Genomic DNA, 24,663 nt, shown 5'->3' on the forward strand with positions numbered 1-24,663 from the left:
TGTTTATAGCAGTCAATATATTTGATTCTTCCAACTTCATCATGAGGAAGACTAACAGGCATACTATTTTGGAGTCAGAAAGGTGAGGTGTCTTGCCTAAAATCCCATGGCAGAGTCAGTTGTGGGGCCGGGACCTGTGTCCAGTTCCCTGGTGACTAATTTGGTGCCTTTTCCATGACAATACACTCCTCTGTCCTTTTCATTTTCATATTTGCAAGGGGTTAAACTTAGCCCTGCTTTGATGAGGGAATCAAAATAATGGGATTCCCCTGCAGAATCCTAACTCACCTTAAAACTGGCATGGCTTCTGTGATGTGCAAAATGCTGCTCCAAACGTAGTTAAGAAAAGAAAGCCTGGCAGCCAGAAATTAAAAAGCTAAAATAAAAGAGATACCATCTGAAAAGTCCCCACTGACCGAAAGAGCCAGGTAGTGGGTCTGCTGGGGTCGGAGGGGTTGTTGCTGGGAGGTGGCCGTGGCACTGCAGCAGCTCAGCTCTACTCTCTGATGGAAAAATGTCCTGCCAGTCAATGGAATTACTGGAGATGGTTCTGAGGGATAAAGGGAGATAAGTGAGCCGGATAAAAAAGCTGGCAGAAAATTGAACAAAACCAGAAGAAGATGAGATGGGCTAAAAAAAGCAGTTCAGGGAACCTGGGTAAGAGAAGCCTGCGTTCCTTAGCCTGTATTCACTGAGGAGGGAGAGAAGAGGTGCAGTCTACACAACTGGCTGGAGGGGAAGGGTTGGTCTGAGACATGGGCCTGGGAGTGGCAGTTTCACTCCCTCCTCTGAGTCCTCTGCACATCGTGGCTGTACAGTAGGATGATTTACTCACCTGACGATCTCCTCCACTGGGCTGTGAACCCTTGCAGGGAAGAACTACCATGTTGAGCTTTTGTGTCCAGCATCTGGTAGGGTGCCCTGGGCATATCCATGCTAGCAAGCTGGCATCATGGGATTGTGCGAAGCAATGCCTACCAAATTTCCGTTTAATACGTTACAGTTTTCAAGGCTTTGAGATATTTTGAACGTGAAATAATAAATGCTACTACATACCAAGTATTCCCTGACTTAAGTCAGGGCAGGAGCATGGAGCTAGATTTGGGAAATAATTCTGTCCCATGAATCTGCAGGTGAAACATAGATATGGGACAATTACCCTGTAACCCAGGCCAGGGTGATTTTTTAAATACCCAAATTTCTGGGAAATGGCTTCATTCTCTGCTTTAGTCTCAGGGGAGAATGGTTTGACTGTTGGTTTCTGAATCAGATATGGGCTGTACCATCCTGCTTTCCCATGGACAGAAACAGCCTGCTCTCTGGGTTCACCTTCTGAAGCCTGCAATAGAGAAAGGTAATAATGAGTCTCTTTTCTGTACCTGCCTCCCTACTCTCTTCCTCTGTCTTTTACCTTCTCCAGCCTCATCCATACATGAATGCCTGTAACCAAGACAGCAGCTTCCTGAGTGCCTCCAATTTCCCCAGCCTTTTGGGACCACCTTCCAGCTGACAGTGCAATAGAATGGCTTGAATCTTTTTCTTGGGAAGCCTAGTATTCCCCTAATATCTCCAAGAATTATGGATGTCTTTTGTTGCTTCTCTAGCTCCAAGTCCCTGCTTTTAGTGAATTCTTTCTTTATCTTTTCTCATTGTCTTTCCTCCTGTGTATACCGTCCGTTTCTGCACATCATCTCCCCTACAGGGGCACAGCCCCTTCCTTCTCCTTTAATTCCCAGGACAACCATACACAAAAAGCCATGACACCTGGCCGAATTTTGGGGTACTGACTTTACTGAGTACCATTGATTACATTGTCGTATCATAATAACAAATGGTTTTCACAAAGTCAGAGAAAAAAAACCAGATATTATTGGAGCTTCCTCATTTTCATTAGCTCTACTAACCATCATGTTGTTTTGGGTCTTCCAATTTCTTTCCTTCTTCACATCTCTTTTTCCCTTCCCTGAGTTGCTTTATTCCTCCCTTGCAGATTGCCTTTGGAAGCAGACTCAGGAGAAGGACGGGGAGGAGCTGAACTGAGCCAACCCCAGTTATTCTTCTGAAATTTGCCAATCATGGGGTACATTTGCGAAAAATAACTCCCAAGAAGAGGGATAAAAACCAGGGTGGAGAGAGGCCAGGAAAATTCTTCACTGGGAAACTATTCAAAACCTGTTGAAATGTGTTAGTTTCTCATTGTCTATTCTCAGCCCAGCCTGACAAGCTTTCATATCTAAATGTAAAATAGCCAAAAGGAGACTCTGTGATTTCCAGTGCTTCACTGCTCAGATAGTTTCATAAAGTGGATTCCTTCCGCACTTTAGCTGCCACTATCACTCTTTAGATGTTAAGTGTCACATGCCAGCCAGCAGGCAGCTCAAACCGTCACTGTTGGCTTCTGTTTTCATTTATTTCATGACAGCTGTCATTTAAAATCAACATTTATTGAGCACCTAATAATAGGTCTGGGGTAGGAATGGTGGAATATACAAATTTGATTAAGACATGCTCCAAGCCCTCAAGGGAGTCATGCTCTAGCAGAAAATAAACATAAGGTTGTGTTATGTCCTCTAAAGGGCTTTTGAAAAGATTACTGTATACTACCTGTGAAGTAGGGAAGGCAAATGATGACCTGACTTGAAGAATGACACAACAGAAACTCAGAGCTATGAAGTCACTGGTCCAGACTTTCACAGCAAAGAAATGATAGAACCAGAACTAGGACCTGTGGTTTTTGACTCCTGATCTACTCTCCTTCCTTGTATCATAGGCCCACGTTGGGTATATCACATTACCAGAAAGAGAAAAGAATGTTCCGAACGTTATTGGATTCCACATATGGAAGAAACTTACCAGCTCTTGGGAAAAAGAATATGTTGTGGCAGGCAGTAGCTTTCCTCTTTATCTTTTTTCTTAAGAGCTGGTGTCCAAATCCATCAGCCTCAATAAACCATATTGGGATGATTTTCAGGAGAATTGTACTTCAAGGGATGTTTAGCTTTTTCATGTTAGCTAGGTATAAATTCTTGTTTTATGAAAGTTGTTATCCTATTTATGGGTAGATTTCTAAGCAAATATTACTTATGAGAGCTGAATAAAAAATTGTTGACACCCCAGAGTTCAATAAACACTTACTGAAGGTACATAATTAGGCAAATTATATGATAAAGTCTATTTTGATATAATTTACTATTTCTTAAAGCTTATTTATCTTCTACTCGTTAAAGAAAACACAGTGAGGAAGTTGTGAACCATGAGTGTACAAAGTCTGTGAGGTGGTGAAGTCCTAGAAAACAGAGAGGCAGAGCAGACACTAAATCTATTTTCAACATCATCCGAATCAGATTTTCATAGTGAACTGTCATTTTCTTTATGCAAGGCTTTATACATTCCAGAACTGCTGTCAGCCATATTGAAATGTATGCGGACTCTCTCCAGAAACACAAAGCAGAGAAAGGAAGCAAACCTTCATGGCATTACTGAGCTGCTGAACAAACAGCTCTGGAAGACTGCCTTTTTCTGACTTGCTTCCTTATTGTTGGGTCAGGTTGATTTGAGGTTTTTGCATACTTGTAAAACAAAACACCAAAACAAAACAAAACACATTTCCCATTTTAATTGTCTCTTTTACTTTACTCTTTCATTAGCACAAATAAGTGAGAGTTGGACTATTCTGAGATTTCTGTCTCTGATAGTGTCAAAGTTCTTCTGTAGGACTGTACACAGATGATCCAAACATGCGTAGGTCTTTTCCTTGCTGTGATCACAGAAAAATCTATGAAGATTGTGTGTGTGTTAGTTTGTGGGAAAAAAGTCATGGTGATTGATGTAAATTAATCAGCCCCTAGCATGGTTCCTGGCATGGATGCTTGATAGTACTTATTGACTATAGATAAGTATTTATTGACTACTGGGCTATAGACCTCTGATAAATGTAGAATAAATTATTATCTCTCTCTTGAAACTATCACTATGATATTAAACACTTGTCTGCATATGGCTTGTGTGGTTTAAATATGTCTTGTCATATTACTCAGTATTATTTGATAAATAATAGGATTGTTGTTTGAGAAGAATAATAATCGTTACCATTTATTATTTTGTAGGTGTTAGGATCTGTGCTAAGTATTTTGTATATGTTGCTTCATTTCATCTTATTAGAATTCTATAAGGTAGGGATTATTATCCTCATCTTAAAAATGAGGAAATCGAGGCTTTCTTTTGGTGGAAAAGTTCTTAACATAATACATTCAAATGTACCAGTCTTTTTGTTTGTAATCAATCCTGTAAGTGTCTTCTTTAAGAAATCTTTCTCTACCTTAAGGTCTAAAATATATCCACCTTAATTTTCTTCTAAAAGTTTCAATTTTTTTTGACATGTAAGACTTTAATTCATCTGGGGTTGACTTTAACATGTGGGACCTTTGATCTTATTCCATACAGACAATTATTTTATTTCCAACTCTATTTAGTTAAGAGTTTCTCCTTTCTCTTCTGACGTATCTTGCCAGCTCTGACATACTCAGTGATCCACATGTGCATCCACACAATGAGATATTCTACAGCAGGTCAAAGCAGCCTACATGCAGCGATATGAATGAATCCGTGCAATATGTGATGGACTAACGAGGAGAGCGTGTCAAGAACCAAGAAATGTGATGAGTTGAATTCTGTCCATCTGAGGTCCTAGGGGAGAAAACACAACCCGAGGTTAAAACAAGTTAAATGATTTGCCCAGGCTCACTTGGCCGGGAAAGCGGTAGAACTTCAAAACTGTAAAACCAGTTCATCTGAGTCCAAACGCCAAGGTTTTCCATCCGACAGTGCAGCACAGTCCATTTTATAACCTTCCTTGAAGAGGTAACATCTATATTTCCTACTGATAAACAGAATACCATGCAGAGTTAGAAGGCTCTAGAAGGTGCCTCCCTCTTGGATCCCTGAGGTCCTCGATCCATTAGCTATCTCCTCTCTCCCCTGTGTCTCCCACCCTCATCTCTTCTAGGCTCCTTTCCACTAATGGACATGCTTGAATTCTTGATTATGCTTGCATATACTTGCATCTTTGCATATAGTTGCGTCTTGAAGAAAGAAGAACAAACCCTCCTTTGACTGCTTCCCCCTCCCCTCTCAGCACTTGGTATATCTTGTCACAGTTTCACTTGCTTATCCCCCTGTTACACAGAAGCCCTGCAGTGCAGGGTCAGCTTTCTTGTTCACTGTTGTACGTACTACCTAACATAGGACTGGCCTGTAATAGGCTTTTAATAAATATTTGTCTAATTAATGAATACAGGTGGTATATTTACATGTTTCAAATCCCCTATTTCTAGTTTTGCCTCATCCTAGACTCTCGAAAGAGTCCTGTTCTGGGGTGAGGGAATGTGAAATTGTTCTAGATGAGGAACTGATGATTTAGTAAGCCAGCATTGTGGTCTGGCACACTGCTACCACATCTTCCAGTTCCAGTAACCAGGTTCTTGCTTCATTCCTGGTTAATAAACTTCTACCTCTTAGTTCAGTGCCAGTAAATAGATCCCTGCTCAGTACCTCTGGCAGCCCAAAGACATGGTCCTGCAATGAGCCTTAGTCTTCTTGACTGAGTCCCTGACACCCTCACTACATGCCCCAACACAGTTTTTCCTCCAGCCTGCAACCCATGTACTTCTCCCCAACAGACCAACTTCATTCTGCTTTGTGCCTCTTGCAGGGGACTTCCAGAGAGCTGCCATATCTTATACACCTCCCCAAGCCATCTGCTCACTTTTCTTCATGCAAGTGCCCATTGTAACATATTGCTGAGCCCCAGAAGAATCCAGCCACCATCCAGGAGGTCCTTAGGATCATTTCAGGCAGAACCACTGAGCCCCAGATTCTTGCTGTCCATGAAGGATGGGAAGGTTTTATGGGGAGTGGGAGGAATGGGACAGGAAGGCAGAGGAGAAGGCAGGAGAGCCCCAGGAAACTGGTAGTGGTCACAGTCTTGCTGTAGGTCCCACACCCTGTCTGAGGAAGAGACTCTATCACAGTGGGAGTGGGTGGCCCAAGCTGAGGAGGAAGCATATGTTATTTGTGTTCTATTTCTAATACCTACCACAGAGCCTGACATAAACAGGTAGTCAGCAGATGTTAGTGGAATGGCAGGAACATATTCAGTGCAGGCTGTATCCCTAACACCCTATGTGACTTTGGACTAATCAATTCACCCTGAGCCTCAATTCTCCCATCTGTTAACTATGGATCGTCATGACTCTCATGTCATTTCAAGGGTGAAATAATTTAATGCACTTGGGAATGTGATATCGATAGCCTCCAATATTTTTTCAGCATGTTGTCCTATCAGTAGGTGGTTTTAAATATATGTACTCCAATGTAAGTATGTTTATATATTTTAAAATTACCTATTCATTCTATTATATATTTACATAACACATATTTTTAAAGGATTAGGCAAAAATAAATAGAAGTTCTAATGTATTCTTCTTATAACCCAGTGAATAATCTTGTGCACCCCGGGGTTGCATTTATCTTACTCTGGAGATGATGACTTTAAAGTCTGATATACACAGAAGTGGGAAGACAAAATATGAAACTGTTTTTACTCACAGCACTTCTGACTCTGAATGCATGGTCTTTTCCAATGCCACTTCAACTCTCAGACACAAGCTGGGTGTCCTAAAACTCAATTCAGTTTTGGCATTGTCTACCTAGAGTCATCATCAGATCCCACAAATTAAGGATTTAGTCCCACAAGACTGTCCCCACTTTCAGATGCCAGTCACAAGTCTCAGGTTGTCACTGGCACTTCTGACCAATTGGCTGTAAATTCAGAGGGTTCCCACAATACACTCTGCAGGTTCAATAATTTGCTAGAATGACTCACAGAACTCAGGAAAGCACTTCACTTAGTATTAATGGCTTATTATAAAGGATAGGATGCATGAACAGCCAAATGGAAGAGAGGCATAGGCCAAGGTATGGGGGAGGGCGCGGGCCTTCCATGCCTTCTCCAGGTGTGCCACCCTCCCAGCACCTCCTTGTGTTCACCAAATCCAAAGATCTCCAAACCCATTTGTTTAGAGGGTTTGTTTTTTTTTTTAAATGGAGGCATGATTGATTAAATCATTGGCCATTGATGATTGAATCCAACTCTGTTAGTCCATTCTCATGCAGCCATAAAGGACTGTCCCAGACTGGATAATTTATAAAGGAAAGAGTTTTAATTGACTCACAGTTCTGCATGGCTGGTAGGCCTCAGGAAACATACAATCATGGTGGAAGGGGAAGCAAACATGTCTTTCTTCATATGATGGTAGGAAGAAGTGCAGACCAAAACGGGGAGAAGCACCTTATAAAACCATCAGATCTCATGAGAACTCACTCATTATCATGAAAAGAGCAGTATGGGGGTAACTGCCCTCATGATTCAATTAGTTCCCACCGGGTCACTGCCACGAGACATGGCGATTATGGGAACTACAATTCAAGATGAGATTGGGTGGGGGAGAGAGCCAAACCATATCACCAATCTCCAGCCCTGTCCCTTCTCCTAAGGTCCCCAGGTAGGACTGATAGTTTCAACTGTCTAATCCCATGGTTGATTGCTCTGGCAACCAGCCTTCATCCTGAAGCTATTTAGGAGCCCACCAAGAGTCACCTCATTAGCATAAACTCAGGTACGGTTGAGAGGGGCTTGTTATGAATAACAAAAGATGTTCCTATTACCCCATCACTAGGAAATTCAGGGTTTCAGAACCTCTGTGTCAGGAACCTGGGACAAAGACCAAATATACATTTCTTATTGTATCACAGATGTCTATGGATTGCTGCTCATATTAGCATTTTAGTGGCAAAAATGTAATGCCACTAAAGTATTGCTCACTGATATTTGTCTGATCAATAAAGTACATTGTATCAATGGTAAAAATATACACCACTCCCTCCACCCCATAGGATTCAGTAAAGTTACTTTCATATTCAATTTTAAAATGCTGATCATAAACGTTTATGTTTTTCCTGAGTTGGCTCTCAGCCAGAAAGGGTGGCTCACCACCAGTTTAATGTCACTAGTAGCCACATGTGTTTCCTGGAAATGTAAATTCTTGCACTTATTAAAGCAAAATTCTCCTTAGGGTACTATAAACAGATGTTGTGGAGGCATTACCCACATCAGCAGAGAAAACTTCCCTCTTCTTGCTCCATCAAAGAAGTCACATTGGCGATAAGCTGGGGTTCATTTATTCCTTCACTTAAAAAATACTTATGAGTGCAAGGCACTGGGATAGTCCCTGGAAATAAGAGATTAAACAGGAGCGATATGGTCTTTACCCTTGTTAAAAGAAAAATCTTCAGATAAATTTAACAGAGTTTAATTGAGCAAAGAGTGATTGTGAATCAGGCATCCCCGAACCAGAACAGGTTCAGAGACATTCTGGCATTGCCACGTGGTTGAAGAAGAGTTATAAACAGAAAAAGGAAAGTGACATCTGGAAAACAGAAATGAGGTACAGTAACACTAAATTAGTTACAGCTTGGTGTTTGCGTATTTGAACATGATTTAAACAGTTGGCCATCTTTGATTAGCCAAAACTAGGTGATTGGTACAAGAGTAGGTTACAGCCTGTTTACACATCCAGCTGGGTTGCACTTCACTATGTAGGGAGAAACCTTTAGTCTGAAATTAAAATATATAAGGAGGAAGCTTTAGGTTAAACTTAATTTAACACCTTCACGGACTTTACATACTGAGGTGAAAGACAACAACATACAAATGAGACAATTACAGATAGGGTTAGTCTATGAAGGAAACACTCTCAGTGCTGAGATAGTGAACTGTGGGGGTAGGCATGGAATTGCCTGATGGTCAAGGAAAGCTTCTCTGAAGAGGTGACATTTCAGCCCGATCTGAAGGATGGGAAGCCTTATGAGGAGTATGTAATCAGGCCCTGGGACAGAGTGTTGGAAAGCATGAGGTGGGAAAGGGAAAGATTGGAGAGTGGTAAGCTAAAGGGAGAGGGGCACAATGCACAGTTGAAGAGGAAGATAGAGACCATCCTTGCAGGAAGGCAGAGATCATCCATGCAGGAAGGCAGGGACCATCCATGCAGGAAGGCAGAGACCATCCAGGCAGGAAAGTAGAGATCATCCAGGCAGGAAGGTAGAGATTATCTGTGCAGGAAGTTAGAGATCATCTATGCAGGAAGGTAGAGGCCATCCAGGCAAGAAGGCAGAGACCATATGATGCAGGAAGGCAGACAATCCACGCAGGAAGGCAGACACCATCCATTCAGGAAGGTAGAGACCATCCAGGCAGGAGGTAGAGACCATTCATGCAGGAAGGCAGAGACCATCCAGGCACAAAAGCATAGATCATCCATGCAGGATGGCAGAGACCATCCATGCAGGAAGCCAAAGACTATATGATGCAGGAAGGCAGAGACCATCGAGGCACAAAAGCAGAGACCATCCAGGCAGGAAGGCAGAGATTGTCCATGTAGGAAGGTAGAGACCATTCATGCAGGAAGGTAGAGATCTTATCATGGTTTACCTTGTTAAGTCATGGTAAGGAATTGTGATTTTTAAGTACAATAAGAGATCATTAAAATGCAGGGAAGGACACTGTTTAGGGAAAATGCTATGAATAATGGGTTGCAAGCCTGGAATTGGGATGGGCGGTTTAGTTGGTATAATGCATGTGAATCACACTGCAAGTATGCAGCAGAAATGTAACTCAGAATCTTTTCTCTAAAAATTTAGCTTCCCCATTCTTCTGGGTAGTAGAAACTTTATCTAGAGTTCAGCTTGTATAGATTCTAGACAATTGAAGACAAATGCAGTCACTTCAGTGTTTATCATTTTAGGGCTTCACTGTTCCTCCTTCTCCTCTATTCCCGAGGGCTAGTTTTGGGGTTTATTTACATACCCTCAGGGCCCTGGGGAGCTGGATTCTGCTCCATGGACAGCGTCAGGAAGCCCAGCAGCTTCCCTGAGATGAGGTGTCTGTTGGATTTTTATCATATTTTCTTCCTCTTGCCAGGTTCTTGCAAATCAATAGACCCTAGATTATTGAGACTACCAACTCTGTTATGAATTTAAAACCGTCTGCTAAGAAACTCAATTGAATTTTGTCTTTTCTCTGCACTGAGGTAGGTACAAATGGAGGTCACTATGGGACAAACCGCAACAAGAAAAAAACATTGCAAATGATTCCAAGTGTTATCTCTACATTTTTTTTTCCTGGTGAAGCTTTGAATATTTTCTTATGCTATCTCCCAGTCAACTGCTCACTTCCCACCTCATTGTCTGGCAGCAGGGAGCTGGGGCAGAAAAATAGCAAATCTATTCTTTTTGTGGATCCGTTCTTTTCACGGACATGTTCGTGAGGCATCCATTGCATCAGGGAAGATTAGGACATCATAGCAGGGAATGCAAAGAGAAAGGAGCTTCTTTGTTCTGCTTTGAAGTATTCAAATAAGATCTTAAATATCAAAACAATAGCAACGTCTTGAGAGAAAAAGATGCTCTGAACCTCTACGAGCTAAGGCCCTGGACTAAACAGTAGGCAAAGAAGATGGGTCAGCATAAGCTTTCTCCACCCCTAGAGAGCAGGTAAGGATTTCCCAGGCTACAAGGGCAGAGGCGAAGGGATGAGTGGTGCCCAGGCCCCCATCGCAGAAAGTGGAGAGTTGTTGCTTCCAGAAAAGAGCGAGGGAAGGATCAAAGAGTGAGGCCTGGTTTTCTGTCAGGGGAAATAGTATTCCCCCGTGTGCACCCCTCACACCTTGAAGTACTAGGGGGTGGGGAAAGACAGAACCCAGATGAAGAACGGAGGTCCTCAGGTCAGAGTTAGGTTTCAGTTACAGCTGGGAGACAGGGAGGCATTTAGTTAAAAGGGTGAGGGCTGGGGACTTTGCTTTTCCTGGAATGTGAGTTTCAGGAAAGCCTGGGTGTCAGTGTTGTATGAAGATCGGGTCAGGAGAAACGAAGTGCATGGTTGGTAGAGAATACAGATAATCAGAAGGACTTAGGTCTTGGCCAGGAACCAGGGAACAGGACTGGGAGGCTTCCTGGGCTTATGTGACCCCAAGGGTTCCACCTCCAGTCACCTGGGAAGGACCTGGGTCTCCAGAGGAGCCTGGTGACTCCTACCAGCAGCCTCCTGTGACTGAGGGGGCACGAACGAGCTTATGGGCTCTAAGATGAGAATAGCAGTCATGGGCAATGAGTACTTCCACATCCTTCAGAGCGCCTTGTGCTTTGCCTGGTCCCTACAAGGTACGCAGGAAATGGATAATGAGTGAACAAAAATGTGGCTTCCCATTGAATTAGTTTGCTAGGGCTGCCATAACAAAGTACCCCAAACTGGGTGGCCTGAACAATAGAAAGTTATTGTCTCACATTTCTGGAGGCTGGACATCTGGGGTCAAGGTGTTGGAGGGTTGGTTCCTTCTGAGGGCTGTAAGGGAGACACTGTTCCCTGCCTCGCTGCTTAGCTTCTGCTAGGTGGCTGTCCCTTTGTGTTTGTTGGCTTGTAGGCACATCACTCCGCCCTCTGCCTTTCTGTTCAGTGCATTCTCTCTGTGTCTCCATCTTCACAAGGTCTCCTTAAAAGGTCTCCCACCATATTGGATTAGGAGCCCATCCTGCTCCTGTGAGACCTCGTCTTAACAAATTACATCTGCCATGACCCTGTCTGATGGGTCATATTCTGAGAAAGTGTGGGTGAGGACTTCAGCACCTGAGTTTTTGCGGGGACACAATTTAACCTGTGACACTTGTCTCCAGCTCCTCTTCTGCTATATGGTCTGAGCATCATCATTTGAACTACTGATATCATGTATGGAGTTAGTTTCACACTTCTCATGTGGAGAAATGTAGCTTTTTAAGTTTTCCTTTAGCTTTACTAGATTTCTACCGCTAGTCACTATGGTAACTGGTACAGGAAGCCCAATCTAGTCATGCCCAGGTCAACTCAGTCCAATTCAGTAATTTCTCAGTCTATTTGTTAAGCTCAGTCACATTCAGGTATTTCTCACTCCCCCCGACTCCTTGGTGGGACAAGACTGTTCTTCCCTTTGTGGGGATGTTGCAATGCAGTGGCACTGAGGAAGTGCTTGGGTTTATGGTCATTTGACCTGACATTCATGTTCTGTGTGCTGTCTGGTCTTGATCATCGGCTTCTCGTGAAGACCCCCCACCAGCATTTGCTGAAGCAGGTTGGGCCCACATCTTGGGACCACACTGCCATCCATAGCTGCATCTCACTCTTATGTCCGTAAGACTCCACCAAGCTCTTTCCCTGGAGCATGGGAGGATTTGATTGCTGTCCCCACAACTGCCCGGATATACAGGATCCTGGAAAGCTGCTCTCTGGCCCAGTGTTCTGGACCCTTCAAATGGCAATTGATCCTCTGTGGGTTTATCTGCAGGGCTTTCCAATGTCCCAGAGCTCCAGGTAGAAAGTCACCATCTGCCTCTTTTATTCCTGGATTTCCGGAAACATACTTGAGGGTTCAGCCATCTGTTTTCACAGGATTCATTGTTTATGGACTATTATTTCTTAGTCTGCCTTTAGTGAGCTGTAAGCCTCCTGTTCACCTCTGTGTCCCCTGTACCCAGCACAGTGTCTGACACATTGAAAATGTTTAGTAAAAATATGTTGAATGAACGATGCTGGAAAGCTACCTTCTGGAGAGAATATGTGACATCTGCGGTGTATGCTATGTCTTAGACATTACAGTGCAGTGGATAAATCATGGGCCCTGGAAGCAGAGTGGATCCTCATTCAGATGCCAGCCCTGCCGTCTGCTAGCTGCACCACCTTGGGCAAGTGACTTGAGCTCTCTAAGCCTTAGCTTTCTCATAGGTGGGAAACGACTTCATAGGTTGGGATTGGGTGTAAATTAGATAATGTATATAAAGTACTTAGCATGCCTTCTGGTGCTTAAGTAAGCACACTGTAAAAGGAAGCTTTTATTATTACATGACGGTGTTTTCTTTAGCTTCTGGGAACTCCTCAGAGCTTACAGATAAAATGGTTACTGTGAGCTCCAATGAGAGACCAATGTTGCTTTGCCTTAAATCCACGCTTGGCTAGTAGTTGAGTTGGGTTGATCAAGCTGAGCTCTTGCAGACTCTGGAAAGGAGGAGGTGAGAGCAGCCATGGCTGACACCTCCATGTTGGGTCCCCTGAGAGCCATGGCCATCTTGGGTTTGACGCTTGCACGTCAGCCTAAAGGATGCATGATCCTGGCAGCTGCTCGTGAGTTCAGAGAGAGGGAGAACAAAGTTGCTATGGTTGAAAAACAAAACCACATTTTTTTCTATAAGGTATCAGAAGGTGGATCTGGACTTCAAGTTCCAGAAGCATCAGAGATAGACTAGAAGATTCTAGGCTGTTGGGGAGGAAAAAGATGTATTTTCCTGGCAGGAGTTCCTTCTAGGATTTAGGGTATAAACTACTCTATCGTCATATGCTCTTATCACTGTAATGAAACAGTGGAATCTCCTTCTCTTCTGTCCATTTTTCTTTTCTTCGCCAACTATGTACAGAAAGGCCTGGGTGAGGTGGGGGAGCGATGACATCACTCTTTTCTGTCTCTAGGTTGAGCAGAAGCCAAGTTGAAGGCTGGCTCCTATTTTCCGCAATTAGATCTCACTTTGTTGGGGAAATTTTCCAATGTGCCATTCTATTCTGAGCACCACACTTCTATTTTTATGGAGGAAACTGAAAGGTGTCTATCAAGTCTGAAGGGGTAGGTGAGTTGTCATAGAATACTGACCTCCTTGTTTCTAAAATGCACAAGGGGAAAATAAAGTCATTCACAACTGGTACCAACACACCAAAAATCAATCTTACGTTCAGAGTGGAGTTCAATGGAATAAGCAGACTTCTGCAGCCAACTCCTGCAACAACTTGCTGCCTTGGTTTTCTTGATTGTAAAATGGGGACGAGAATAACAATCCCAATTAAATTACTGTTAGTTATTTCAACTCCTAATAGCAATAACTGATAGCATTTTTTTGAGTGTGATGTGCCAGGTGCTGTCCTTCACAACCACCCTCAGAGGCAGGCTTTATTATTTCCATTTTAGAGGTAGAAGAAACTGAAACAAAGGGAAGTTAACTAACCTAAGGTTGCATAGCCGAGAAGTGCAGGACCAGGACTTGGATGGACTCAGGCAGTCTGACCCGGGTCAGCCAGTCCCTAATCATACTTTCATCTGGGCTCAATAATAAAGACTTGCAAATGCTGCTTGCTGGCGAGTAGTATGAGGTTATCTTCTGTAGAAGTGAAGTGAAGTGAAGTGATACAGGAAAAGTGAATTTTCCTGATAAGGGAAGATTTATTCTGTAGGAATCTAAGTTTAATATTAGCCATTTGACAACATCTTTTCATGAACATTTCTCTTTTCCTCTATTCTTAAACAGAGTGTGCAAAAAGTGACATAGCCATTTGTATGTAACCTATCCCGTGAACCATGTGCCAAACCTGTTCTGATGCCTTGCTGGCATCCCCAGGCACCTCCATCTCCTACTAACCAATGTTAAAGGGAAAAAAAAAAACCTCAGCAAGTTAAGTTTAGCAGAGTTTAATTGAGAAAAAACCAATTTGCAAATTGGGCAGCTTTCAAAACCAGAACAGGTTCTAGGAACTCTGGCCAGCAACACGGTCAGACAGTATTTATGGATAGAAAACGGAAGTGAGGTGTACAGCTTAATTGGTTACAGCTTGTGCTTGCCTTATTTGAATCCGTTGGTTGCCTGTGAATGACTGAAGCTCAGCTGCTGTAATGGGCTGAGACTCAGCTGTTTGTTACAAAAGTATATTCCTAAATTAGGCTTTCAGTTAGTTTCCACACTAAGCCAGGCTGCAGTTCCTTGCTCTTTATGAAGGACCCAATTGCAGATGCAAGCTCAGGCTAAATTTAGATCAATTTAACACCAAGGGGAAAAGCATTGATATTGACCCATTTTCCTGTTTATATAACTGAGGCACAGAGAGGTTAAACAACTGGCTCTGGGTCACAGAGCCTGGATCGAGCCTGGACTTTAACTTAAGCATTTTGGCTCCAGGGCCCTGTGCTCCTCCTGACCGACATTCTGAATTATGACACGGTGGAGTCTCCATGGCCTTCTAGTGGCAATGACCACCTTTGCTGTTTATTGATCCTTGGCTCTGTGTCAAATACTGTGCTAGAAATGCTAGAATGAGCTTGTCCATCCCGCAGCCTGTGGGCTGCATGCAGCCCACGATGGCTTTGAATGTGGACCAACACAAATTCGTAAACTTTCTTAAAACATTATGAGATTTTTTTTCTTTTTAGGTCATCAGCTATAATTAGTGTTAGTTTATTTTATGTGTGGCCCAAGATAATTCTTCTTCCAATGTGGCCCAGAGAAGCCAAAAGACTGGACATCCCTGTGCTAGAAGCTTGATGTGCTGCATTTCACTCAACCCACTCCACAATTCCTCTGAATTAGGTACTGCTGTAATCCTGTTTTAGAGCTCAGGGAACGAAGACTTAGAGAAATTAACTAACTTGCCCAACAAAACATGGCTAATAAGTGGCAGAGTTAAGGTTCAAGTTAATAGGTAAGCACCAAAACTTGGGCTCTTTCAACTATGCAACTCTGCTTTTCCATACGGGCCTCAATAAAACAGATGTTCACGGTTGCTGGTGATTCACACGAGGTTTGCCCTCCCAGGGGGCTGGGCACAAGCTCCTTTGCTGCCTTCTTTCTGCTCAGCTGCTTCTACCTTCCCCAGAGTTCCAAGTCTTGGTCTCTCTCGCTCAGCAGTTCCCTGGCCTGATGGGATGCATAGAGACTGAGCCGTGCCAGTCAGTGCTGGTTATATCCAGTTCACCCTCAGGCTGAGTCTGTCATTCAGTGATTTTGCAAGATGACCTCAGAACTGGTCCCCATCCCCATCTCTGTTCTTTCATTGGGGCAGCAATTTAGTATTTAAAAAAAATCTGTTAGGAGCCATTATTAGATAGTGCAATTCACAGATACCTGGGGGTAGTCACGTGCTCCTTCGTGCAGTAGCACTAGGGTTATTGTTTCTACGAGGAACGGGGTCAAAGTCATGCTAACAGAGGGATATGCCTTCTTCATATGGAATCAGACAATGTTGTCTTCAGAGAAAAATTAGTCCTCATGCGGCAGGCGTAAACCTTTAAGTTTGAATTAGGGTGTTCAAGAATGCAGGCTTATTTGGTCCTGGGAGCCCACCCAGGTCGGGTTTGTTGTGAACACGGTCATCCTTTTTCCCATGGTCCTTAGATGTGGTGATTCTCTGCTGCCTCTGGGCTGTGCTTGACACATAGACAACTTTGGCTTTGATTCTAGTCCAACTTGCCATGATGTACTATGCAGTCATTTTTCTCTGGAGTCTTTTTTCTTTTCCACTGGGGCTGCCAGGACTTGGCTCATTTTTGCTTTTATAATTATACCACTGAACAACTGATCTCTATTCCTTCATTTCTTTCTTTCTTTCTTTGTCCCTCCTTGTCTCCCTCCTTTTCACCCTTTTCCTCCTTCTCTCTTTCTTTCCCTTCCACTCTTCAACACAAATCTGAAGGAAAATATCTAAAAATAAGGAGATTCTAATCCCTTTAATTTTTTTGTAGAAACCCTATTTATGTTTACCAAATATCACTTCTCTGTGGGCTTAGGCTTTTAAGACAAAAGGCAGACATATTTGCAGGCCACTTCTGTTTTCCACTCTGCCACATGTTTCCTACTGACTGTAGATGTACTTCGGAGATATTGCAGATTTGGTTCCAGACCACTGCAATAAAGCAAATATCTCAGTACAGGGAGTCACACGATTTTTTTTGCTTTTCCAGTGCATGTAAGTTATGTTTACACTATACTGTAGTCTATTAAATGTGCAAGAGCATTATGTTTAAAAAACAATGTACATACCTGGATTAAAACATAATTTGTTGCTAAAAAATACTAACAATCATCTGAACATTGAGCGAATCACAGTCGTTTTGCTGGTGGAGGGTTTTGCCTGGTTATCGATGGCTGCTAACTGATTGGGGTGGTGGTTGCTGAAGGTTGGGTGGCTGTGGAAAGTCCTTAAAATAAGACAGTAATGAGGTCTGTCATGTTGATTGACTCTCTTTCACAAAAGATTTCTCTGTAGCTTGTGATGCGTTTAACAGCATTTTACCCATATAGTAGAACTTCTTTCAAAATTGCAGTCAGTCCTCTCAAATCCTGCCACTGCTTTATCAATTATGTTTAAGTAATATTTGAAATTTTTTATTGTCATTTCAGCAGTGTTCACAGCATCTTCAGGAATAGATTTCATCTCAAGAAGCCACTTTCTTTGTTCTTCCACAAAAAGCAACTCCTCATCCTTTAAAGTTTGATCATAAGATTGCAATTCATCTTATGGGTCTAATTGTAGTTCTTTTGCTATTTCTACCACATCTTCAGTTACTTCCTCCACTGAGGTTCTGAACCCCTCCAAGTAATCCATGAGGGTTAGAATCAACTTCTTCCAAATTCCTGTTAATGTTGATATTTTGACCCGTTTTTGTGAATCACAAATGTCCTTTATGGCATGTAGGATGGTGAATCCTTTTCCGAAGGTTTTCAATATACTTTACTCAGATCCACAAGAGGAATCACTATGGCAGCTATGGCCTTACAAAATTTATTTCTTAAATAATAAAACTTGCAAGTCAAAATTACTTCTTGATCCATGGGCTATAGAATGGATGTTATGTTGGCAGGCAAGAAAACTACATTAGTCTCCTTGTACATCTCCATCAGAGCCCTTGCATGACCAGGCGCATTGTCAATGAGAAGCAATATTTCGAAAGGAATCTTTCTATTCTGAGAAATAGGTCTCAACCAGGGGCTTAAAATAGTAAACCATGCTGTAAACAGAAGTGCTGTCATCCAGGCCTTGTTTTTCCATTTATAGGGCACAGGCAAAGTAGATTCAGCATAATTCTTAAGGGCCTTAGGATTTTCAGAATGGTAAATGAGTCTTGGCTTCAACTTAAAGTCACCAGTTGCATAGCCCCTAACAAGAGAGTCAGCTTGTTCTTTGAAGCTTTGAAGCCAAGCATTGACTTCACCTCTCTAACTAGGCAAGTCCTAGATGGCATCTTCTTCCAATGTAAGGCTGCTTCATCTACATCAAAGATCTGTTGTTTAGGGTAACTACCATCATCAATAATCTTAGCTAGACCTTCTGGACAACTCTCTGCAGTTTCTCATCGGCACTTGCTGCCTCACCTTGCACTTTTATGTTACGGAGATAGCTTCTTTTCTTAAACCTCGTGAATCAATCTCTGCTAGCTTCACACTTTTCTTTTGTAGCTTCCTCACTTCTCTCAGCCTTCATAGAATTGAAGAGTGTTAGAGCCTTGCTCTGGGCTAGGCTTTGGTTTAAGGCAGTGTTGTGGCTGGTTTGATCTTCTATCTAGACCACTTAAACCTTCCCATCTCAGCAGTAAGGCTGTTTTGCCTTGTTATCATTTATGTTTTCAGTGGAGTCACACTTTTAATTTCCTTCAAGAACTTTTCCTTTGCATTAAAAACTTGGTTGTTTGGCCCAAGGTGCCTAGCTTTTTGCTCATCTTGGCTTTCAACATGCCTCCCTCAAGAAGCTTAATCATTTCTAATTTTTGATTTAAAGTGAGATATGTCCAGGCCTGGTGCAGTGGCTCATGCCTGTAATCCCAGCACTTTGGGAGGCCAAGGAGAATGGATCGCTTGAGGTCAGGAGTTCAAGACCAGCCTGTCCAACATGGGGAAACTCCGTCTCTACCAAACTACAAAAATTAGTCAGGTGTGGTGGTGCATGCCTATGGTCCCAGCTACTTGTGAGGCTGAGGTACGAGAATCACTTGAACCCAGGAGGTAAGAGTTGCAGTGAGCTGAGATCACACCACTGCACTCCAGCCTGGGCAAGAGAGTGAGACTCTGTTTCAAAAAATAAATAAAAAGAAGAATAAATAGAGATATGTGCAACTCTTCCTTTTACTTGAACAATTAGAAGCCATTATAGGATTATTAACTGGCTTAATTTCAGTATTGTTGTGTCTCAGGGAATAGGGAGACCAGAGGAGAGGGGAGAGATAGGGGAATTGCCGGTCAGTGGAACAGTCAGAACACAGACAACATTTACTGAGTAAGTTTACCATCTTATATGAGTACAGTTTGTGATGCCCCAAAATAAAAATAATAGTAACATCAAAGATCGCTCCTTGCGGATTACCATTGTGGGAGGGGAAGAAGGTGACAGAGTCCCAGTCACTTCATGAGGTTCAGCCAAGACAGTTAGAAGGACCCTGGTTATCTTGGGATGCCAGCAGATGTGGAGGGAATCTACAGACCAGCTATGGCCAAGAGGATTTCTCATCCCTTCAGACCTCATTAGCACTGAGGTCACTGACTTACCTCCCTCCCATAGGTGGGCAAATAGCCTAAAGGACAGGAGACAGGGTGTTCCACATTTATTTATCCAGCAAGTTCTATCAAATAAGCCTCTGTGACAGCCAAGACTTTTTTTTCATTTTCCTTTTATGCAAAAATGAATGAGTTAGTTCTTGCCCTTGAGAAGCTCAAAGTCCAGCATAAGAAGCAGAATTTTATGCAGAAAATTATAGTCCCTAGGGCTGTGTGCGTGTGTACGTGTGTGTGTTGACTATTTTCTTACATTTCTGTCTCTGCCCCAGCCTTCTCGAGGATATTGGAGATATTCTGCCCTGCCTGCCACCTCTCACCTCCTCTTTCCTGGAGCAGGAGGAGTGACTTACCTGTTTGCTGGGAAGGGGAGAAATTAACACCCACTGCTCCACGTGGGAAAGAAGGATGTATTAAATTAAAGGTCTCCATTCTCAAATGGCCCTTTTCCTTCTCTTTGAAAACAGCTTCCTCTTAGCAGGTATGCACGCATGCATTCTCCTCTGTGTGACAAGAGATTTACTCTGTCATGGGAGGCCTGAAGTGCTCCAGCAGCTCCGGGTGACCAGGTGAATAAGTCAGGACAAAGACAGGGTGAGCGTACTGGGGGTGTGTGGCATATTAGGAAGCTCGTTTGGCTGCAGGTGCATCGCTTTTCCATGTCCAGCTTTATCTGTTAAGTAATGAAGCTGATATTGTGAGCTCCATCTCTCAGACTCATGTGCATTTCTCAATTGATTCCAAAAGCACAGTGGAGGGGTGACATTTGTAGTTTCCCTTAAATCCTATCACGGGATGAGCACCATACAGAAATATGAACAGAGGGCTATGGGGTCAAAGAGGAGGGAGTACTAGTCAAGAAAGCCTTCACAGAAAAGGTGACAATTGAGCTGGGACTTGAATGGAAGGCATTAGCCAGATGTGACCCAGGAGCTTTACAGCCTATCTGATTGTTTTTTGTCCCCACCTCAGCCTTAGCGCAGAGCAGGGGACCCAGCAGGGGCTTCATAGCTGTCTGTGGAATAGAGAGATGACAACCCCTGGAGAACATTCTCTGAGAGCGATGGAGGAGCCCTGGGAAACATGGGAGGGCCACCCTTCTGTCACACATAACCTACCACCTCTGATGGCCTGAGGGCCACATGAATGGTGCACAGCAAGAAGCACAGGGCTCTGCCTCATGACTGATCTCACAGGAGGATAGCATGCAAAGCTCTGGGTGGAAGAAACTCAGAAAGCAGAGACAGTGGGGTGGAGTGTGAGGAAAATCTAGGGCTGAAAGTTCAGAAGTCAAGAAAATGCAGGAGCTACATATGTATACATGTGCCATGTTGGTGTGCTTGTACCCTAAAGCTTAAAGTATAATAATAATAATAATAATAATAATAATAATAATAATAAAGAAAATGCAGGAGCTTAACGTGAAGGGCTTTGAAAGAAATTGTGTGCTTGGAAGAGAACCAAGGAGAGCAATTCAGGTGACATGGAGTCAAGACTTTTCTTGAAACAGAATGCCAACTTTGTTAGAGGATTTCTCCTGGGAATTGGTGGTGGGTAAAACATTAAAGGACTCAAGGAAAACCCACTGCACAGGCAGACAACCAACTTTCGTGGAAAACCAAGGACTAGAAAATTATTATTGAAAATTTGTTTTCTTGTGGTTAATCATTCCACATTTGAGAGCTGGTGGTTTTTCATTGATGTAATTAGTGATTACATTTTCTAGAGGACATTTTTCATGTCAAGCAGACAGTGACTTCAAAGATGAGGAAGGATGGAGCTTCATGGAGAGAAAAAGAAGTGCCATGCTAACACAGTGAAGGGGTGAAACTGGATTTGACAAAAGCACCCTCTTGCATCATCAGCTACCTTTAAGAATCAGTAAACATGAGCTAATTTTTGAAATATAGTTGCAACTCTGTGATAACACACCCTTTGGGATCTCCAAGTGACTTGGCTGTGTGGAACTTTGCTGGTTCAGTCCAAGTTCACCTAATCTCTCTCTCTCCTCCAGTATATACTGGTATTAAAAATAGTCTCTATCCTAACGGGGGAAGAGGACGATAACAATACAGCGTGACAAGTGTATAGATAGATAGAATAGGATGCTATTCTTACCCCTAAGGGGACTTAACCAAGCCCGGAGGAAGGTGTCTGAGATGAGCTACAGGAGGAGTTACTGTGATTTATTACTTGGTGGTGGCTGTTAAATTTTTCCTTGGAGCTAATGCTTTGAATCTGCCCTTCTCTTTATGTCACTCCTAGCTCTTGACTTTTGACCACCTGCCTTATGAATCTGTTTGGGGCTATTAATATCATCAGTATCAGCAGTGTCCTGGCTCCTCTGTACCCACTTCCTCACCCTTCATTGTCTCAGCTGGCCCTCGTGATGCCTGTGTGACAACTGACCATGGGTACCTGGTATGACCCAAGGGCCTTGTTCCATTTAGGCCCCTTGTGTATTAATTAGGCTCTCCCAGACTTGAGGACCAAAGCCATGCTCCAGGATCGGAAGGCTATGTGAAGGTCCCTGGAATTAAGGGGACAGCAGATGTCTCAGCAGCTGTGCACTCAAGACTCCTGGAGATCTGGGACATGGTTCTGGAGTGATCAGCTTGGCATTTCCTTATAATAGAGGCTCTGGCTCCTGGCTCCAGTGACTCTCTTGTGCTTGATGGTTAGCCTGTCAGTCTTGGAGCTGTCACTGCCTCTGCTGCTGCTGTTTTCCCCTGCTCCTCCTTCCCCCTGTCTCTTGCATGTGAGCATCCTCAAGGAATTGCTTCCCCAAATTCTGGGTCTAGTTGGCATTGCTTGGGTAGCAGCTTTTCTTTTCTTCTTTTGTTACACTATTTTACCAACGTCTATATTAAAGACACAGAGCAGCAGCTTTTCTTGATACAAATATGACAATGTATGTGCCAGGAGCCACCCCATGTCTGCTTTGCCCAGAAGGGGACCCAGGGCATTCCAGCAACCTAGGTCTCCACCTAGGACTGTCTGGTCCTGGGGAGGAGTTTCCATTCCTGACCACACCCTTGGTGCCAGAATGTCCAAGTATTCTGATCACAGCTCACAGAGTTTAGCCTGTACTAGGATTTTGACAGGATTCTCTACGTTGCATCCCCAGTCTTGATTTCATCCTCACTGTGACATCATAGTTCACTGCCATTAACATTTTATTAGGTTGGTGCAAAAGTAATTGTGGTTTTTGCCATTAAAGGTAAAACCTAATACCTTCTCAAGCTATTATTCTTCTAAAACAACACAATCATGCCTTAGGATGGACCCTGAGAGCTACTTCTTTTAGGCTTGGTGATTGACTGGCCCTGCCTCAAAGGCTCTCAGCCTGCCAGTCCATGGCTCAGCTTTGACTCCTCACATGCTCTGGGCACTTACTCGCTGGGCTTTCTTTCATCTCAGCAGACTTCATCTTACTCCTATCACTCTACTTGTTACAGTTCTAGGTTATATTTCTTTTAAAAAATTTGCATCATATCACCAATTTTCATCTTTTTCTTTTTAAATTTCATAAATATTTTACTTTATTTATAGAGACAGAATCTCACTATGTTGCCCAGGCTGATCTCAAACTCCTTTACGCACATGATCCTCCTGCTTTTGCCTCCCAAAGTGTTGGGATTATAGGCATGAACCACTGCACCCAGCCAGTTTTCATATTTTAAAATGGGAAATAGAAAGTCCCAAGCTAGGGGTGCAGCCCAGGGGCTATCCCAGGCACAGACAAGGTAGGCCATCTCCATAGAGCCCAGATCCCCCATACGATCCATATGATCTTCCGCCTCTTCCTGGAAAGCCTTCTAGGTTGCAAAGCCAGCCATCTGGGACAGCCACACCACATGACACTCTTTTAGAAACTCTGCAGAGATGAAGAAGAAAGATTCCATCTAGAGGACAATAAGTACAGCCTCAAAAGTAACTCAGTAGAGCTACTGGATGTGGCTGAGTTATTAAAGGCCATTCAGGGTGTATGCTAAGGTGATTTTTGACCATCATAGGAGGTCTCCAACTTTCTGCTACTGGCCAGGTCTGCAAGCAGCACATATTATGAACTTAAGGGGATACGGGTAGTGTTTCTCTAATTTCAATCTTTCATACACTCATCTTTATCATTTTGACTTTACATCACCTAGACTATGATTTGTATTTATTATTATGCTATTATTATTAACTTGTTTAAATCTACTGAAACAACTATAACATAATATTCACTTTTGTCTTATTATAATAAGTAGTATCTGTGGAATCATATTTTTGAATATATTACTTATGTTTTTCCTAATTAATATTAAATACATTCAGAACAATTATTATAATAAAATATTTGCTTGTGTACACGTTAAGCATTAAGTCCTCTTGTATACCTACATGGGGACACATACCACACCTTGTAAAACACAGCCATAGAGGAACTTTAAGTGACTGGAATGGAACACTTTTTATCTTAGCAGACTCCATTCTATTCAATTGATTCATCTCCACTTGAGAGGACTTCCAGAGGATTCTCCTTGATGCAGCCATTCCTGATGCTTTGTCACTGTGGAAACCAAGGTCACTTTCACCAGGAACTTTAGTTCCTTACATGTGACAGACTTCAAACTCTCTCAGCTCAACAAATATTTGCTTGCTCACTATATGCAAGGTGCCATGCGAGGTGCTATGGATGGGGCACTCACTCATGGCCCTACCTCTAAGCAGCTCCCTTCCTCTGTGACGTTACAAGGAAAGCATATTTCCAGAGGACGATGGCAAAGAAAAGTTACTATGATGTGATGCTGTGCCAGAAACCCCACTGAGGAAGTCTGTGGCTTAGGCTGGAGGTCTAAAGGGAACCTCTACCTCCCCTAAAACCCAAACCTTCTGACCACTCTTCAGCCCATCAAAGGATAGAAAATGAAACAGGGAGCATGGGAGAGAAGAGGAGAGAGAGACAGATGGCTAGACCTCCTCAGGTCCATTTACATCTACCACAAGGTCTAGTCATGTCCTAGAATTTCCAGTTCAGAGCCTCCCACCACCATCCCTGCATGGGGAGCAAAAAGAAAGGATAACGGAGAAGCCTATCTGGAGAAAGTGTCATTGAGGCAGATCCCTGAAGGGGGTAATGTTTCCAAATTCATAAGAGGATTTAAAGCCCCCTTTAAGGACAGAAATGTTAGTTCTTTCTGCCATTACCTCTCTGGTCAGCCTCCATTCATCTGATATCTA

At 43.0% G+C, this 24,663-nt stretch overlaps 1 long non-coding RNA gene across 2 annotated transcripts in view; it reads right to left on the reverse strand.

Annotated features, from left to right (window-relative positions):
• Positions 1-888: 888 nt before the first annotated feature.
• LOC105379003 (uncharacterized) overlaps positions 889-24,663 on the reverse strand; it is a 92,996-nt gene continuing 69,221 nt past the window's right edge. For both annotated transcript variants that reach the window (XR_948380.3, XR_001742683.2), the window contains 2 exons: positions 2,854-4,686; positions 889-1,339 (listed from right to left, as the gene is read on the reverse strand). This is a non-coding gene — a long non-coding RNA (uncharacterized LOC105379003). The remainder of the gene's footprint in view (positions 1,340-2,853; positions 4,687-24,663) is intronic.

The sequence above is a fragment of the Homo sapiens genome, chromosome 5 (genome assembly GCF_000001405.40).
Source record: "Homo sapiens chromosome 5, GRCh38.p14 Primary Assembly".
In the NCBI taxonomy this organism is placed as follows: Eukaryota; Metazoa; Chordata; class Mammalia; order Primates; family Hominidae; genus Homo; species Homo sapiens.